Source organism: Homo sapiens, chromosome 3, assembly GCF_000001405.40.
Source record: "Homo sapiens chromosome 3, GRCh38.p14 Primary Assembly".
Taxonomy (NCBI): Eukaryota; Metazoa; Chordata; class Mammalia; order Primates; family Hominidae; genus Homo; species Homo sapiens.
In genome coordinates, this window is record NC_000003.12 from 167,603,167 (window position 1) to 167,623,514 (window position 20,348).

Genomic DNA, 20,348 nt, shown 5'->3' on the forward strand with positions numbered 1-20,348 from the left:
AGAGCAGGAAATGTTGTATCTATTCAAAACAACACAATACTCTTTGTTGCTTCCTAGCTTAGGGCCAGTTGTGGAGCTGAACTTAATCATCCTTATTTTTTCCAGCACTATAGGAGGTACAAAGTAATTATTATTATACAGAGATTGAAATGATTAACCAATCAATAAATTAAATAGTTTCTATTTGAGTCCTTGCCAAAATGAGTCACCAACTCCTCTATCCTTCTCTAATAAATCTACAGTACTCCTTGAAGATTTGATGTTGGCATATTCACGAATTCATATTCAAGGTATCTGTTACTGTGATTGTCAGGTATTATTTTGGGAATTTTATGGACACAGCTCCTTAGCTAATATTAATAATCTTCATATGAATGACAACTATTGAATGTGAGTTAATATGACCCATTCCGTAGACCATGTGTATGCTCTGTAACTACCCTATTAATTTTTCAATAATATATCTATACCTCATTTTTATAATGTTTGAACAAATATCATATATCAAATTATCAGCTTTCAGAATGTCTAAATTTTTAATTTAAATAGTTAATGCCTGAGAAAGGTTATATTTCCTCAGTTAAAATAAACTTTTTTTACATCAAAAGAACTCTCCTCTAGTAAACAAACCTCGCATAATCTGAACATTTTCAAAAATCATTAGAGATTGTATTCTGAAAGGTAATTGAAAAACAGTCTACATTTTGCGGTTCTCTTGTGTATGGATGTGTGTGTGTGTGTGCATGCACTGGTAGTGGTAGCTGTAGTAGTAGCAACGAAAAAATGCATTTGTTTGGGTGGAGCATTTGGTGGTGTTAGGAAGATGGCAGAATGGCAGATGCTGCACAAACTGTCTTCCTTCTCTATATCATTTTACACCCTTCACCAATTGTAATTAAAAAAAAAACTCATTAAAGCATTGGGCACTTTCTCATATTTTTACCTCAATGTAGTTCATACACACTGCACATCATAATGCATCATTATCAGACATTCTCAGGCAGTAAAATGTGAGCTTCTCGAGATGGTCTCTATAGCAATACAGCAACAAGGTAGCAAAGGCTCCATGCATACAAATATACATCCCAGACTATTTATGAGGCCCTCATAGTTATCATGATTTATTTTACCTACCAATTAAATTGAGCCGAGAGTGATAATCAAAAGCATGAATGCCCTGGGCAATGTTGAAGGATGTCATATTAAGACGCTTTTTTGATTTCTCTCTCCAAGCCATCACCACACTATTTGTATTGCTGGTTGTACTGGAAATGATAGCGTCTAAAGATGCATTGTAAGTAACTGATAAAAAATTAAAAAGAGAAAAACAATCTTTAGTTGATTCTTCACAAGATATTAGTAAAATGGAGCTGTTTTAATATGGAAAGTTAAAAATTAAACTCAAACTATGATGATACAAACTGATACTTAAAAAACACCTCACAAACCCCTTCTCCCACCTCCCACAAAAGAATTCCATTGAGAAGTTACAGGAAATTCTACATTCTGACTTTTCCCCCAATCTAGGGAAAGATAAGCAGAGATTTTGAAAGGTAATTAGGTCAGGAGAGTAGAACCTTCAAGAATGGTATGAATGCCCTTATAAAGGAGGTCCAAGGAAGCTTGTTTGCTGCTTCCACTATGTGAGGGCACAGGTGGAAGGCACCATCTAGGAAGCAGAAAGTAGGTCCCCACCAGACAGCAAATCTGATGGTGCCTTAATCTTTGACTCCCAGCCTCCAGAACTGTGAGAATAAATTTCTGCTTCACAAAAAGAGCATCCCTCATTAAGGAGTTAAAAACAGTATCTAGTTTTACTATTTTGGTATAATAACTTAATTTGCTTTGTGTGTGTGTGTGTGTGTGTGTGTGTGTGTGTGTACATATACATATGGCGTATATATACACACATATATTTGTAATATGTGTATATATATACACACACACACACACACACACACATACACAGGTATTTATACATTTCCAAACAATTATTAAAGGCAAGAAAGTTCTGAGAAGCAGGAAAATAGCTCAATGCATTCCTTTTCCTCTGATCTATTCAATTGGGCTGTTTCTAAAGGTAACTAGGATTTATTAATTCAAGAGCTCATATTGATATGTAAATAGCTTGATTTAGAAAATTCCATAGCTATCTCCCTAGGAAATAAATGGCATAACACAACCAATTTCTAACTAAATTAATGATGTTGAGACTATTCAGTGTGTCATTTACAGATATCGTCTCTCAAAACATGGCATTCAATCCTCAAAGATTTATTGGGCATCTACTATGTGTTCTGTGCTATGATAAAGATAATAAGAAAAAAAACAGATGCAGTCTGGACTTCAATTATATGGCCCCAAACTTGGGAGAAAAAACGTGTAAATCAAACAATTAGAGACAATTTTAGTACATCATAAAGTGATAAATTGAATGTTACAAAATGTATAATAGAATTTCAAAGAAAAAAGAAATCAGTGTGACTTTCAGGGTTTAAGAGACATTTGTTGAACGTTGACAAAAAGCATTTCAATAGATGAGAGGCCATGACAAATCACCTGTGTGGGAAACAAAAGGTAAATTGAGAGCTGAGAAAGAGCTAATCTACTTCTATATCTCATAGGTAAAGAAATAGGGATTCATCCACACAGTTTCAGTGATTTGCCAAAGTCAGCAAGTAATTGTCAAACTCAGGTCTGAAGTTCTGAGATTAACTCTTAAGTTTGGTGTCATGACATGCAATATTATAAATCGAAGCTTGGGACACTAGTATTTGGTAGAGCCAGAGTACAAATTCAGAATACAGGGCCTGATCTCTTGACTATTGAAACTTGGCTTCTCAAGTTTTAACATTCACACAAATCGCTATGTGAAAATGCAGATTCTCATTCAATGTAAACCTGAGATTCTGCATTTCTCACATTCCTAGGTGTTGCTCCTGATGCTCTCTGAGAACCACACAAAGTAGCAAAGCACTAGAATGCAAGTATTGCCATTATTTTATACTCTAGAGAGTATGTTAATCCATAGTTCTTAAAATTTGGGAGGTCAAACACCCCTTTGGGAATCTGATGAGAACTATAGACCCTCTCCATCAGAAAGGTATGCATGCACACAAAATTGTGTATAAAATATCACGATTTTGAGAACCTTCTCACTATACTCATAAAGTCCAACCATAATAGATCTGAGGAACTTAAGTGATAAACCTCCAGCCACAGGTAATTTTGGAGTGAGAAATTATTCTTCACCTGCTTCCTCAAGTGGTTCTTAAAATTTCTATTGCTAATGATGTACATCCTTTGTGTTAGTCAATACTCATTTTAGGCTTCTGTTTTAAGCTTCTACTTCTTTAATGTAAATGAGTGTAACTGTCCCTTGATACTGGCATATTGCTAATAGCAGAACACAATTTCTAAGAGGAAAATAAGGAGAGAACAGGATACAAAGGAGATGTTCAGAAAGGGGACCAGAGTAGAGCTGGTTCACAGAGCTGGCTCACAGAATAATTCACTGGGAAGTGTGTCATGAAACACAAAAGTGCTGCCAAAGGCCAAAATGGTCTGTTTCTCCACTCTGCCTAGAATTTACCTGGATTGTGTTATAAGGGCAGAGAGGGCAGTGAGTGACCCCTTTCCTCCTCATTATAAGGGTCATGGCCAATACCCCTATAACCAAAGACAGGTTAACAAGAGAAAAGCACAAAAAATTCATCTGATCATAGATTTACATGACACAGGAACCTTCAGAATGAAGATCCAAAGATATACAAGACACTGTCCATTTTTACACTTGGGTTCTATGACGCAGGGACAGCCATGTAAAAATATGATTGGAAAAAAGGAATATGAGCTAATGAAAATAGACTGAGTGGAAAACCCAGCAAGTCTTGTCTGCTCAGATTCTTCTTGACTTCTCTATACGGCATTCCTTTCTCCTGGGTATGGGGTAGGACCACTCTAGAATGAGGGATGTCATTCCATTCCTTTATGGTCAGGAGGTTACACTAATAGTAGGGGAATGTTAGAATAATATTTTTAGACTTTACGGCTACCTTTGGGGAAAAGGAGTTCTAGCTTCTATGACCTGGCTCAGGAAAGAATAAGCAGGAGAGACAGATGGGCAGGAGAAGGTCAGAGAGAAACTTTGCTCCTGAGGCTGCTTCCGAGGTTTTCATTTTGGGGTATCACTTTCTGAGCCCCAACAGTACGTTTCTTGCTTATCCCCCATATGGAATTTCTCTTTGACCTATGACTACTTTAAATAGTTTTTAGGATTATTTATTGAATCCTTCCTATGTACAAGCACCACTCTGGGTGCTCTCACCCTATAATAATCTTTAGTGGGTAAATTATTCCAAGTTTCCTAATGAGAAGATAGCAACCTGAAAGCCAACTTGCTCAAGGGCATGAAGCTAATTGGAGGTGGAGATGAGACTGAACCCAGTCCTGTGTGGCTGTCAACTCTCCTTTCCTGTGCTATTGCCTCCGTCTTTTTTACTAAGCCTCACTACAATGTGTATCACAGGTCCAGATCTGGGGTTCTTCCTATTACCAACTACCTTTCTGTCCCCATACCCTCAATCCCAAACCAAGCCCCTAATTTATCTTGAGTCTTCCCTTTCCTGATCACTTCACTTTTCTATTGCCTCTGATCCCCACGGGAACAGTATTTCTATGTCTTCCTTGCTTTCTCTCATCCTTTTCTCTCTTTTCTTCTTAATAAAAGGAAGGAAGAAAGGGTAAAAGGGAGGGAGGGAGGAAAAAAGGGACGGAGGGAGGAAAAAAGGAAAGAAGGGAGGACGGGAGGAAGTGAAAGAAAGGCAAGGATCTGGGAAGTAATTCGTTCCTATAAAGGAGAATCCTTTAAGTTTTATTAGAGAGCAATTAATTTCAGGAACATAAAGTCCCATGATTACCTGCTGCAATAGTACTACTACTGTACTAGAAGTTCCAATAGTATAAAATCTGATGGCAATGATTCTCATTCAGGAAGCAGCCTCACTGAAAATATTCTCTTTGTTTACAAAAAAGGGTTATTATAACCTGACTCTCAGTAAGGCAATATTATAAGATGTAAACTATACAACATAATACTATAATTATATCTTCAAGTGCATGGAAATCCCATAATATAATTACAATACAATCAAAATAAAATATTCCTACCCAGAAAATTACTTCGTCATGTGTTTCCCCATTATACCCAACTATCATCTTTAGTTTCCAGGTTATAAAGAAAGACATAGAAAGACGTGTATGCTGCTCTGGCATCCGAAGTATTGCTTTAAGATTTAAATCTGCAGGTTACAAAACGACATTTATGGGCCTGCAGTGCTACATATTGGAGGCTCAACAATTCACGCTTAATGTCTAAACCAAGATATAACTTGTTTCTGATTAAACTGTAGAATGCCAGAGTTCCTGAGAGTGCCTGGGTAAAAGGTGAGAGAAAAGCCATTTCCTTAAAATCAAATTATCTGATAAATAAAAATGTTTTTCTCATTTCTTGAATTGAGGTAAGGAAATGATAGGTTATGATGGAAAAGTTTTAAAACTATCAAGCTAAGGAATAGGATGAGCTGGTAAAATAAATGATTTCTTGTTAATATTCTCAGTAAGTTTTGGAATTGGTAGAGGAAAATACTTTTAAATTACTTTTATATAACATTATAGAGAAAAAAAACAACTTGATTATATTTATCCATTAAGATGCTAACTTTCAACTCTTTCATTCTCTTGCCACACAGTCATAAAAAAAGACATTAAGGGACCCTGCCATCGATCTTTGTCCTCATGTGTGCTGTCAAAATGACCCTGTGTAACAGCAATTAGTTAATGTGGGAAAGTGATTTGAAAATGAAAAGTGATACCTAAAAACTAAGTAAGTAATGCTATTAAGTGCACTTAGAGTAAGATAAAATAAGGCACTCTATAACATTTGCCAACTGATAGACATCGTGGCAGGGTAGGAAAGAAGTCTCCACCAATTCTCCCCTCTACCCCTGCAAGGACACCAAGTTAACAATCTACACAGAAAAAAACACTTTTACAAAAAACAAAAATTAGATGAGCCCTCATTGTACCTGGTTTTCACTTCACATCGCTGAAAGAGGCACTGAAGAGATAGAAAAATAAAAAAAAACAGTACTGAATCACCAACGCCCACCCTTCTCCACCCCTACCAGCAACTGCGTGGTGCTGAGAGCTTCTCTGGGAACTGGGGGAGAGAGAGCAGAGCAATTATGTAGTATTGAACTCTGTGCTGTCCTGGCAAAGCAGAAAGGAAACCTGGACCAAACTCAACTGGTGCCCGCCCACAGAGGGAACCTTAGCAGAGGGGAATCGCCCAGCCCAGAGGTCTGAACTTGAGCTCCAGTAAACCTCACCACTGAGGGCTACAGCACTGTTTGTCTCCAAATAAACTTGAAATGCCATAAAGCTCTAGGCCATAAAGACTGCAACTCATAGGTGAGTCCTTGTGTGGAACTAGGCCCAGAGACAATGGACTGAGGGGGCACACGACATACTGAGACACCAGCTGGTGCAGCCAAGGGAGGGCTGGCATCACCCTCCTCTAACCCCAGACTGCACAGCTCACGGCTCCAAAAGAGGTGCCTTCCTTTCACTTGAGGAGAGGAGAGGGAAGAGTGGGGAAGGCTTTGCCTTGCCTCTAGGATACCAGCTCAGCCACAGCAGGAGACAGCATTGGTCAGAGTTGTGAGGCTCCTGTCACAGGCCCTCAATCCTGGATGACACTTCTACACAACCTGGGCCGGAAGGGAACCCACTACCCTGAAGGAAAAGAGCCATTCCTGGCAGCATTCATCACCTGCTAACTGAAGAGCCCTTGTGCCCTGATGCAATATCCAGGTATTATATCAAGGGTCTTGGATGAGCCTCTGAGACTTGCTGGCTTCAGGTGAGACTCGGCACATTACTAGCTGTGGAGGCTATGGGGAAAAACTCCTCCTGCTTGAGAAAAGCAGAGGGAAAAGTAAAGGGGACTTTGTCTTGCACCTTAGGTGCCAGCATGGCCACAGGGGTGTAGAGTACCCAAGGCAGGCTCTTAGGGTCCCCAATTCCAAGACTTGACTCTTGGATGGAATTTCTGACCTGCCCTTGTCCAGAGAGGAGTCCACTGCCCTGAAGGGTAAGTCTCAGGTCAGGCAGCACTGACGACAAGCTGACTTAAGAAACAGTGGGCCATTAGGGAACATCAACAGTAGTCAGGAAGTACTCTTTTTGGCCTGGGGTAGCAGTGGCTACAGGGTGAGGCTTCTCTGCCTTTGGAAAAAGGAGTAAAGAGTGGGAAGAACTGCATCTTGTTGTTTGAGTGCCAGCTCAGCTGCAATAAGAGAACACCAGGTAGACTTCTAAAGTTTTTGACTCTAGTCCCTGACTTGCAGATGGCATTTTGGGACCCACCCAGGGGCTGGGGGACCTTGCTGCCCTAAAGGCAAAGACACAGGCCTGGCTGGATTTGCCACTGGCTGATTGCAGAGCCCCAGGGCCTTGAGTGAACATAGGCAGTAGCCAGGTAGTGATTAAAGCAGGTCTTGAGCGAGACCCAGTGCTGTGCTGGCTTCAGGTCTCACCCAGCACAGTCATAGTAGTAGTGGCCACTGAGGTGCTTGTGTCACTCCACCCCCAGCTTTAGGTGGCTCAGAACAGACAGAGAGACTTTGCATGTTTGGGGGACAGTAAGGGAGAGAACAAGAGTCTCTGTCTGGTAATCCGGAGAATTTTCCCAGATCTGGTCTGAGATCTGAAATGCTAAGAATACTTTAATCAGAAAGAAAAGGACAATGGGCAATGAATAGTCACCTGAAGGTACAAAACTCACTGGTAATGATAAGTGCACAGAAAACCACAGAATATCATAACACTGTAACTGTGCTGTGTAAACTACTCTTATCTGAAATAGAAAGACTAAATGATGAACCAATCAATACTAATAACTACGAATTTTCAAGGCATAATCAGTACAATAAGATATAAATAGAAACAACAAAAAGATAAAAAGCAGAGGGACGAAGTTAAAATGTAGAGTTTTTATTAGTTTGCTTTGTGTTTGTTTATGCAAATAGCGTTGCTCTCAGCTTAAAATAATGGGTTATAAGATAGTATTTGCAAGTCTCATGGTAACCTCAAACCAAAAAACATATGAATATACAAAAAATAAAAAGCAAGAAACTAAATCATATCATCAGAGACAATCACTTTCATTAGAGGAACATAAGGAGGAAAGAGAGAAGGAAGAGAAAACCAAATAACAAATCACAAAATGGCAGGAGTAAGTCTTTACTCACCATTAATAATATTGAATTTAAATGGATTAAACTCTTTAATCAAAGACATAGACTGGCTGAATGGGCAAAAAAACAAGACGCATTGAACTGTTATCTTCAAGAAACACACTTCACCTATAAAGGCACATATAGACTGAAACACAGAAGATAAAAGGGATGAAAAAGATATCCCACGCCAATGAAAACCAAAAAAGAGTAGGAGTCACTATACTTTTATCACACAAAATAGATTTCGAGACAAAAACTATAAAAAGATACAAAGAACATCACCATGTAATGATAAAGGGGTCAATTCAGCAAGAGGATATAAAAAACTTTAAATAAAAATGCAGCTACCATGGGAGCACTTTGATACATAAGGTAAATATTATTAGAACTGAAGAGAGAGATAGGCCTTGATACAATAATACCTGGCGACCTCAACACTTCACTTTCAGCACTGGACAGAACTTCTGGAAAGAAAATCAACAAACGTCAGACTTAATCTACACTATGGACCAAGTGGATCCAATAGATATTTACACAATATTCCATCCAAAAGCTGCAGAATACACATTCTTTTCCTCAGCACATGAATCATTCTCAAGGATATACCATATGTTAGGTATCAAAAAATATCTTAAGACATTCAAAATATTGAAATAATATCAAGTGTTTTCTCTGACCACAATGAATAAAACTAGAAACTACTAACAAGAGTAATTCTGGAAACTATACAAATACATAGAAATTAAACAATAGTCTCTTGAATGACCAGTGAGTCAGTGAAGAAATTAAGAAGGAAATTGAAAAATTACTGGAAACAAATGATAATAGAAAAACTACACACATATGGGATACAGTAAAAGCAGTACTAAGAGGGAAGTTTATAGCTGAAAGTGCCTTCATCAAAAAAAAAAGGAACTACTTCAAATGAACAATCCAATGGTGCATCTTAAAGAACTAGAAAAGCAAGAATAAAACAAACCCAAAATTAGTAGAAGAAAAGAAATAATAAAGATCAGAGCTGAAATAAATAAAATTGAAAAAAATACAGAAGATTAATGAAACAAAAAGTTTATTTTTGGACAAGTTAAAAGGACAAAGCTTTAGCCAGATTAAGAAAAAAAGAGAGTATATCCAAATAAATAAAATCAGAAATGAAAAAGGAGACATTACTACTGATACTGCAGAAATTCAGAAGATTGTTAATGGCTACTATGAGCAACTATATGCCAATAAGTTGGCAAATCAAGAAGAAATGAAAAAATTCCTAGATGCATACAACCCACCAAGACTGAATTGGGAAGAAATCTTGTGTTAAGCAAAATCAGCCAGGCACAAAAAGACAAACATTGCATGTTCTCACTTATTTGTAGGATCTAAGTATCAAAACAATTGAACTCATGAACATAGAGAGTGGAATGATAGTTACCAAAGGCTGGGAATGGTAGTGGGGGCCTAGCAGGGAGGTGAGGATTGTTACAAAAAAATTTACTTAAAAAGAGTAAGACTATTGTTTAATAGCACAACAGGATGACTATAGTCAATAATAATGTAATTGTATATTTTAAAATAACTTATAGAGTGTAATTGGATTGTTTGTAACTCAAAGTGTAAATGCTTGAGGTGATGGATACCCCAGTCCCCAGGTTGTACTTATTTCACATTTTATGCTGATATCAAAACATCTCATGTACCACATAAATATATACACCTACTCTGTATCCACACACACAAGAAAATTTAAATTAAAAAATAAAGTATAACTGTATCTATTCTATCTTTAAAATAAGAATTCAGCACTGCTAAGCATATTTAAAAATAATAATGCAATTAATTCAATTACTTTTCAAAATGCCAGGTAGGCACATGTCCATGATACAAATGAATCTTATTCTTCTACCATGCTACAGAACAAGCTGCAGGAAATAGAGCCCTTTCCTCAAACCAAGGCCACTGCTCACAGCGGATTTCAACTGCTTTAAACATAGTGACAGAACTGGCAGGAAAGGCAGCGTGGTCTAGCTAACTCGACAGTGTCTGGAAGACTGATTTAGATGCAGGGAAGTCGAGCCACACACAAGCAAGATATTAAATCTGGCTTCTCTGCCAACTTAGTCCCTATCAATTATAAAGACTCCCTGAGGAGTCTGTATTCTAAATTTTCTGGCACTTGTTCCACTAATTAGTGCAGCAATTAGCAGCTGGTTGTGGTGGCTCACACCTGTAATCCCAGCAGTTTGGGAGGCTGAGGCAGACGGATCACCTGAGTTCAGGAGTTCGAGACCAGCCTGGCTAACATGGCGAAACCCCGTCTCTACAAGAAATACAAAAATTAGCAGGGCGTGGTAGCTCATGCCTGTAATCCCAGGTACTCGGGAGGCTGAGGCAGGAGAATCGCTTGAACCCAGGAGACAGAAGTTGCAGTGAGCCGAGATCATGCCACTGCAGCCTGGGTGACAGAGCAAGACTCTGTCTCAAAAAAAAAAAAAAAGCAATTAGTGATTTTGTTAACAATTCAAACTGTTTTGTATCTTCTTCTAGCCCTGGTCAAAGGGCAGAAAACATTTTCAACGCAATAAAATATCAATGATTTTTGTTGCTGACAATTTCATGCTCATTCTTTCTTTCTTGTCCCCCCTCCTGCGTCCCGCGATGGAGTCTCGCTCTCTCGCCCAGGTTGGAGTGCTATGGGCAATGGCGCAATCTCGGCTCACTGCAACCCCCACCTCCCAGGTTCAAGCAATTCTCATGCCTCAGCCTCCCAAGTAGCTGGGATTACAAGCGCCCACCACCACACCTGGCTAATTTTATTGTTAGTAGAGACATGGTTTCACCACGTTGGCCAGGCTGGTCTCCAACTCCTGACCTCAGGTGATCCGCCCACCTCGGCTTCCCAAAATGCTGTGATTACAGACATGAGCCACCTGGCCTCATTCTTTCAATATCTGCATTCCCAGACTACAGTTTCCAAGGTTTCTAGTGATACTGTCTATATGAGGAGGAAATTATTAAAAAGGAAAATTCTCTGAAATTCAAGACGTTTATGTCTTAGCACTATTACACAAAACCTCTATAATTACTTTACAAGCATTTCAGAATGTAATTATTTTTCCATTAAAATATGACACAGAACCACTCAGAGAAGATGAAAACATTTACTCCTTCAAAGTTTTAAATAAGAAATCTGAACCTTATCTTAAAGCACTATGTTAATACTCTTCTGTCTGAAACTGAGTTTTTCCTTTGACATTTCATTTTTACAGATATTTTATCCTTAGCTTCAATAAAAATTATTATCATATTTGCTCATGTGTTTCTTTCTTTCCTCAATTGTATATTCCCTCCTCACACTGAGACGAAAATCACCAAAAATATTTCATGAAGAGTTCTAAGAATATTGAATCACGTTACTGGGGTAAAGAGAATACCAAATTAAACAGTCATTGGTTGCTTGCTCCTGATAGAGCAAGTCTTGCAGACAAAGGAACAGAATCCAAAACAACTACAAATCCCATATATTACATTTGAATCCATCCTGCCTTTCCTCCTTCTGCCTTCCTCTTCATTTCAGTCTTCCTGTCTTTTCTCGTATTGAAATCACTGAGCTTCAAACAACAACAGAAAGTCATATTTAAGCTTCTAATCTGTATTGCTAAATCTAAGAAAAGGCATTCTTTCATTGGTTATGACTGAAGTATATTCACCTTTCAGAGGTACTTGAGGAGTATAGTGGTGATCACGGCTCACTGCAGCCTCAATCTCCTGGGCTCAGGTGATCCTCCCACCCTTAGCCTCCTGGGTAGCTAGGGCTACAGGCCCATGCCACCACACTCAGCTAATTCTTGTGTTTTTTATAGAGACAGGGTTTCACCATGTTGCTCAGGCTGGTCTCAAACTCCTAGGCTCAAACAATCTATCCACCTTGGCCTCCTAAAATGCTAGGATTACAGGCGTGGACCACCACTCCCGGCTCTCCATTTAAAAAAAAAAAAAAAAAAAGAAAGAAAGAAATTCTACAACTATTAACCATAATTTCTTTTGATATTTCTCTTTTCTTTTGAAATATTTTTGAATAAAATTCACCCAATAATTTATCTAAGACTTTCCAAGTCAAATTGCAAAATGGCTTTTTTTTGCTCTTCAATCAAAACATAAAATCCCATAGAAGAAACTAATAGGAATTATTAATTAGAGACACAAGTGAAATTCTTTAAAAAAGAAAAAAGGAAGAAGAAAATTAATGTAATGCTTTCGCAGGACTTCAGATAGTTCATTTTGGCATACACTAATATTAAAATACAGCTCAGTTTCTCAGCACCAATAGATAAGCAGCCAGTTCTTTTCTGCCCTTAACCCATCTCAACAAGACACTCACTCCAGCATCCTTTGATAAATAAATTATCCATTGTTCCCTACAATAATTATCACAGAGCTCATAGTGCACAATACCATGTGCAGAAGGATACTTCGTTAAGTGTTACTGACTGCTGCTTAGTTTTGAGTGCTTCAAAGTGAACATGATAATAAACAAACCTTGAAGTGATTATTTAAAAATCTTCTTAGTCGGATGTTAGAAGTTAAGTTTCTTGGGATGGATCTAGATAACAGAATTAAACTGAAATATGCCAGTGCTTACTATGGTGCCTACTACATAGTAATTACCTAGCAAATGTTTTTTGGGTGAATATCACATAGAAGCTCCTATCCTTGCAGCTGGTAAAGGGTTGTTAAGGTGACTGAAAGATCTCAACAAAAGAAAGAGGCTAAATGATCAACAAATATTTATTGTATATTCACTATTTAAAAGGCATTGTGCTGGATTTCTGCTTCCAGCCATGATGGCATAACAAGGACTGATTTTAATCTCCCACCATAAACAACTAGAAAACTGGACAAATATTAGCAACAATATTTCAGATTTTGACAATAGGCAAAGTAGAACTGTGAACCCTGAGAGAAGAGAAACAAATAAAGTGGGCCCTACAATCACTCTGACTTTCTTGGAAGAAATTTCCAAACTATCAGCACACAGAGCAGGAAACCACACAGAGCCTAGCAACCTCCAGAGTTGGAGAAACAAAGATTAGCGTTAGAGGACCATGAGGCAGCTAGAAAATGTGGGACAGAATTCTGGAAAGGCAAATAATTAGAGTCCTATTAAAAAAAAGAGAGAGAGAGAGAAAGAAGAAAGAAAACTTTGAAAAAATAACAATAGAAAAATTTCCAAGTTTAATGAAAACTACAGATCCACAAATCCAAGAATTTTAATGAATTTTAACCAGTATAAAGACATACACACATATACACACACCCCAAGAAAAACTAAGGTACATCATAATCAAATGGCTTAAAATCAGCGATAAAGAGAAAATCTTATAAAACATTGTATTATGTGTTATACTGGATACTAAGGTGAATGAGGAATATAGTGCTTGCCCCAAGAAGGACGTTTTAATTTCCATTTATATGTAAATGTAATTTTCATGTGAGGCATTCAAATTTCCTTCTAGGCTTGGAAAGGTAAGAGGCAGGACCCAGATTCTAATGTGGGTACAGAAATTGGTAGGTTTGGTTCGCAGGGTGGGCAGCATTGCAAAGCAAGATTTTAAAGAAGAATCCAGGAGAAATGCCAAAATTGAGAACCTTGCAAATAATGCAATGAAGAGTCCATCTGAATTAGACAGAGGAAGAGGCAAAATAAAGAGTTTGATGTAAGGTGAAGTGGCAAAAAATAAAGGACGTTTCAGGAAAAACGTTGGCAAGAAAGACTCTTCTGTGGTAGGCCAGACACAGTGGCTCACACCTATAATCCCAGGACTGTGGGAGGCCCAGATGAGTGAATTACTTGAGGTCAGGAGTTTGAGACCAGTCTGGTCAACATGGTGAAACCCTGTCTCTACTAAAAATACAAAAATTAGCCGGGCATGGTGGCACATGCCTGTAATCCCAGCTATTCGGGAGGCTGAGGCACAAGAATCGCTGAACCTGGGAGGTAGATGTTGCAGTGAGCCAAGATCGCACCACTGCACTCCAGCCTGGGCGACAGTCTGAGTGAGAGTCCATCTCAAACAAACAAAGAAACAAACCTTTAAAAACCTTTTTTTTAAAGAAAGACTTGTCTTTAGTTGCAGAATCTGGGGTATCTCAGAATGAACAATCCTCCTCCGGAGGAGAAGATGAACTGGGAAGAGTCTATGCATTGGGCCAGGTGGGGATCTGTAATCTTCAAATAAAAAATTCCCCAGCTGGAAATGGAAAGTTTTATAAGACGTCCTAAGATGGCTTACCATTCCACATTTTTAGACCTCAAATCCTGAAGATGGTTGCTTCAGAGAGCTGCCTGTTTCTGTCCTTTCTTTATCATTTCCATTTTCTAATGATCAAAAACCTTCTAACTAGCCAGTCTGATTGCAGTTTCTTTCTCCTCTAACCCATGCTGAACAAACTACCAAGTAAACTTTTCCTAAATACTGTCTGCATTGGGTCTGTCCAAGTTTCCTCAAAAGCCTTCGACGTTTCACGGCCAATATCTTCCAATGTTATGTCCCCATTTGACCTATTTGTTTCTATTTCCCTAATATTCAGTGTCTGATCTATTCATGTCTACCTCTCCTTCTGTCATCATTGTGCCTGCTTGTCTATTTTGCTCATGTTGCCCACGTTCTCTTTCTCTCTCCCTCATCCATCCTTCAAGTACCACCACTGATCCTTAAAGCTTTTTCTTATGGCTTTTCAGGCTTAAGAACTACTCTAGGAGTCAAAATCTTGTTTATAAGATTTAGTAGTTAATTTTCAGTACCACTGAACAATGTTCTAATAAGGTGACTTGTGTTAGTTTCTATTTCATTCAGATATTAAGTTTTCTGAGGGTTGAGTCTATAATTAATCTTTCTTCTATAGTCTCAAATGCCTAAGACAGTTTTAAGACACATAAAAGATCAATAAATAATTGTTGATTGATTGACACTCAAGTCCATAATTCAAATAAAGTGTTTAAAGTAAATGTGTGTGTGTGTATTCCTGTTGTTGTTCCAAAAATTATCTGCTTGATTATAATGAATTTTTTATTCAAAGAACTGAGAAATATATAATACGAATAAGATAGCAAAGATTTTTAACTATATATGTACATCTATATATATCTAATTTGTATTACATATGTAGTTCCTTATATATACATAAAACTTCTCTGTAGCCAATTCCTACTTTGCAGTGATTTAAGGCCAGACTGTGAAACTGTGAAATCGGATTCCTTAGGTCATAAACATGAATCTCCACTGCTAATACTAAACTAAATTCCCATGTTCTTTTGTCAGTAGAGGAGGGAATCAAAGATCAGAATGATATGATAGACACATGGTAAGTAGCAAATCAACATTGACCTAGAGAACAATCCTTGTCCTATAACTTAAGAGACAAATGCTCACTGATAGGTTACTTCATTGGTATGGTTGATTTTTTGGGACCCTTAAATAAAATTGAGGCAGAGTCTGCAGTGAGAGCTTCCCCATTCTCTTCCTGAACATGAAGAATATATAGATATAATGCATCATCGGAAAAGACAATCACAATTTAAAAGCCTTACTTGTTATCTCTCCAACCCTTTCTAAGACAGCTTTCTATAGGCTTCTCTGTATTTACTCATATTATTTAAAGGTTATGGACTCAAATAATACATTAACTTTCAGAGAACCTACTGTGAGTAAATTTCAAGAACTATCACTTTATTATTATAATCTAGTCTTTGGCATATGTATCTAAAAAACAAATGAATATGAATACAAATAAAAGAATACAATGTTTTTCAGAAGAAGTTGAAATACCTCCATTCTGTATATTTTTAATACTCTGATTCTTATTTTCATGTTATGAAAACTTAACACATAATTTTGTGCCTGTCACACTTAGCAGATGACCAAAAACTGTCATCTTTTGTTTTTCCTACAATTAATATCATGCAGAATTTAAAAATGTATAGAAGGTACTAAAGCCATGGTATGATTTATATCAAAGAAAAAAATGAAGAGCACATAGTTCCTCACATAGGAAATTCTTACTGTGGGCATACATTAAAGAATTAGTTTCAACCTTCTGAAACCCAAAGAGGGTAAAATTACCAAAAAGCCAACAGTTGGGTCCATGTTGACTGTCTCTTCTTCAAACTGTATTAGGAATAGCCCAATAACATTAATCTCATCTAATTTCATTAAAGTCAATGAGATTGTTAATTTTCATTCTTTTCAGTGGGCATTCTTTAGTGTAGCAATTTAGAAGTGAGAAAATTAGCATACTCAGTATCTAAACAAAGAAATATTAGTGCAGATATTGCACATCTGAATCTCGAACCATCAGATAAAATTAAGATATTTTATGAAACTAATTCATTGGTGACTAGGTTTTAAGAAAGTTCTTGTTTTCTGTAGATACTGATTTTATAACATAGTCTTATTACACAAAGAACTGCCACTCAAGTACTCTAGATTAGAGAAATTCAGTCATTACATCAAAAAAAAAAAGAGAAGAAAATTAAGACAATTCAATTCTAAAGGCAGTCAAACTAATATGCTTCCCATGAGAACATAAGGAAAACAAAGGAATGGTTCTGAGGGAACTTGTTAAATTCTTTTATTAAACAGCCCTGAATGTAACTAGATGAGATTAGCTAGGCTCAGAGTTGAGTTGAAGCTAAATGAATTCTATGACAATGTTTTCCTTTCTCTTAAGATTTCTTGAGCACATTGGTCACCTGAATTAATTGTATGAGGCATAAATTCAGAAGGAAAAAAAAAAGAAAGAAAGAATCCCTGCCAGTATTCAAGGGATAGCAGAGTCCAGGCCACAACCTCCAGAGAACCAATTATTGGTTTCTAGACTTAAAGGTTTTGTGTGAAGCATTTTCATCAAAGAATATAAATGTACAAGTCAGAGGTGACCATTTACTTTCATTACTGTTCAAATTCAATACCTTGCCTGACCCAATCTCCTTGATGAAGTTTATGCTCTAATATATGGCAACATTTGTGACATCCAGAGAGCAGCTCTGCCCAGTTAATGGTCATAGTGGCTTCTCCATCTTCACATGCACTAGCAGGCCGTTCAAACAGGGAAATCAAGGCTGCGGTGAAAGCAATTGCTTGAACCTTGACAGAGACATTGAAAGAACAACAATCGTGGACGGGATATTTGTTGCAAGAAGATTCTAGGTTATTTTAGTTTAATAAGGAATAGCTATTAACTTAATAAGAATTTCTTCAATATTATTTAAAGGATGCAGGGTGTTATACTAAAAAACAGAACAATTATTAGTTTGGTGATACAATTACCAAAGGGCAGTCTTTTACTTGTTTTTAAGACACATTTGTCATTAAAATAGTAAGAATGAAAAGCTTTCACAATTACAAAAGGAAATTGTTCCAATTAGCCTACTTCAGAGGTCACAGACATATTCTAGTTTCATTCAGTAAGTAATAATTTTTCATAGTTCGGGTGAAATTTGATAGGAAGACAGAAATAATTGTATCCAATATCTAGGTTTCAGAGCTGCCCTCTCTAATCCTTTTGTTATATGATACAGGCAATGAGCACTCGGTAGGAAATTGGTACTGAGAAACCCAATACTCTATGTAGGAAAATCAGAACAATAAATTTGAAAGCATTTCATGGGATAAATGTAATCATTTAATATTAAACATTTATTCATATTAGGATCTAATAAATTAAGCATCCTATGGTGAAAAAGGTTAGCAAGATCTTTTTTTCTACATGAGAAAAGTGAGCTATACACAGACCAAAAAAACAAACAAACCCCCACACACAATTAAGATTTGTTTTTGTACGCAAGAAGACAAATTGTGACCTAATCCATCTCTTCCATGTCCAATGTGCATGTAATCCATAATGTAATTAAATTTGGAGGTCACACTCATTGCATTTTAATTTCTACTTTAAACTACAGTTTGATGATTAAATCCATAGTATTCAATCTTAATCTACCCTCACTTACCTTTCCAGTTATATCCCCAAAAGAAAGAATTGATTCATTGGCATCAAGAGGATCATACCAATAATCCATGCAAATTGGTGTTCCTTTCAGGCCTTGGAGTTTGTATTGGCAAGCAAATTCTTCTTTGGACAGCAGATCATAGAAACAAACCTCTTTACTTGTAAAAGCCACTGCTATCTAAAGTAGCAGAGTAGAAAATCAGAAAGTAATTCTGATGGATTTAGCAAAATTAATATGCAAAGCAGACACGCCACTCTAATTGCCAAATCAGACTTTGTTCTCTGAGGATCCTTAACAGTATTACAGAAGTTAAGAACAGCGGCACAAATGTACCTTATCCTAACTGTGGAATCTAGCCAAGAAGAAACTTTTCCCATTAGAGGCATTTGAACATGCTTTATTTCCTATCCCTATTCCACACAGTCACCAACATCCCCATCCATGGGAGACTAGACCACTAATCACACAGGAGAGACTAAGGCACAGAGATATAGCATGATACAATCATACCAGAAACTTTACAAACCATGTTTTATGATGCAAGTAGAGACTTTCATGGAAATCATTTGATACAGACTCTATAAGTAGCTTTATCTGAAGTCAGAGAAAACCCTAAAGGCTATTTTACAAAGGGGAAAATATTTAACAACATAAAAATAAGTCAATAGAAAATGTCCCTGTAGAGATTCACACATTGGATTTACTAGAAAAAGACTTCAATTCAACTATTATATATATGTGCAAACAACTAAAGAAAACAAGATCTAAAGAAGCAAAGGAAAGTATGTGGCTGGGTGTGATGGCTCATGTCTGTAATCCCACCACTTTGAGAGGCCAACGCAGGAGGATTACTTGAGGCCAGGAGTTCAAGAACAGCCTGGGCAACATAGTGAGACTCCCATCTTTAAAAAGAAAAAAAGAAAGAAAGAAACAAATGAGAATGATGTCTGATTAAATAGAGAATTTTAAGAAACATGCATAAATTATTAAAATCACCATTCTGCCAATCTTTGCCCTTTAATTGGTTAGTCCATTGATATAATTACTGAAAAGGTAAGATTTACATCTGCCATTTTTCTAACAATACAGCCCCGTAATACAGAAGCAAAAACTAAAATTATTGAAGACAGAGTAGGCATTTCAATAATAACAGTGGGATATTTCAATACTCTACTTTCAATGATGGATACAACAACTGAGCTGAAGATCGGTAAGAAAATGAAGACTTGACAAACACTATAAGCCAACTAGATCTAATGTATGTCTAAAGAACACTCCAGTCCAACGTCAGCAGGATGCACTTCTTCTCAAGTGCACAGGCACATTCTCCAGGGTAGACCATATATTAGGTGATAAAGCAAATCTCAAAAAATTTAAAAGATTTGAAATTATATAAATTATATTCTCCAAACACAATGGAATGAAATTAGAAATTTCATTCAACAAAAGAAAAATTTGGGAAATTCACAGCTACATGGAAATAAAACAACACACTTCTAAGTAACCAATGGGTCAAAGAAGAAACAGACAGAAAATATCAACAGAACTATGACAAATGAAAGATTAAATTAATAGTCAAAAAAAGTGTCACAAAGAAAATCCTCAACTAGATGGCTTCACTGATAAATTCCACCAAACGTTTCAAGGAAAATCATACCAATACTTCTCAAACTCTTCCAAAAAATTACGGCAAAGGTAACACCTCCCAAATCATTTTATCAGGCCAGGATTACTCCAATACTGAAACCAGACAAAGACATCACAAGAAAAGAAAACTGCAGATCTATACATCTTACGAATACAAATGTAAAATGTATACTGAACTAAATACTAGCAAAGAGAATTTAGCAACATACAAAAAAGTTTACACATCATAGCAAAGTAATATTTATCCCAGGAATGCAAGGTTTGTTTAACATACAAAAATCAATCAATGTAATACTTCATATTAATGGAATAAAAGACAAAAGCTATATGGTAATCTTAGTAGATGCAAACAATGCATTTGACAAAATCCAACACATTTTCATGATAAAAACACTCAACAA

The 20,348-nt window shown here is 36.9% G+C and overlaps 1 protein-coding gene across 4 annotated transcripts in view; it reads right to left on the bottom strand.

Annotated features, from left to right (window-relative positions):
- The window catches only part of WDR49 (WD repeat domain 49), a 179,240-nt gene that overhangs the window by 124,483 nt on the left and 34,409 nt on the right, over nt 1-20,348 (bottom strand). For 3 of the 4 annotated variants that reach the window (NM_001348951.2, NM_001348952.2, NM_001366157.1), the window contains exons 4-6: nt 18,301-18,477; nt 17,263-17,437; nt 1,135-1,302 (exon numbers count right to left, since the gene is read on the bottom strand). In NM_001348951.2, the coding sequence (NP_001335880.1) occupies nt 1,135-1,302; nt 17,263-17,437; nt 18,301-18,477 (520 nt within the window). The remainder of the gene's footprint in view (nt 1-1,134; nt 1,303-17,262; nt 17,438-18,300; nt 18,478-20,348) is intronic. The other variant, NM_001366158.1, reaches the window with a different exon arrangement.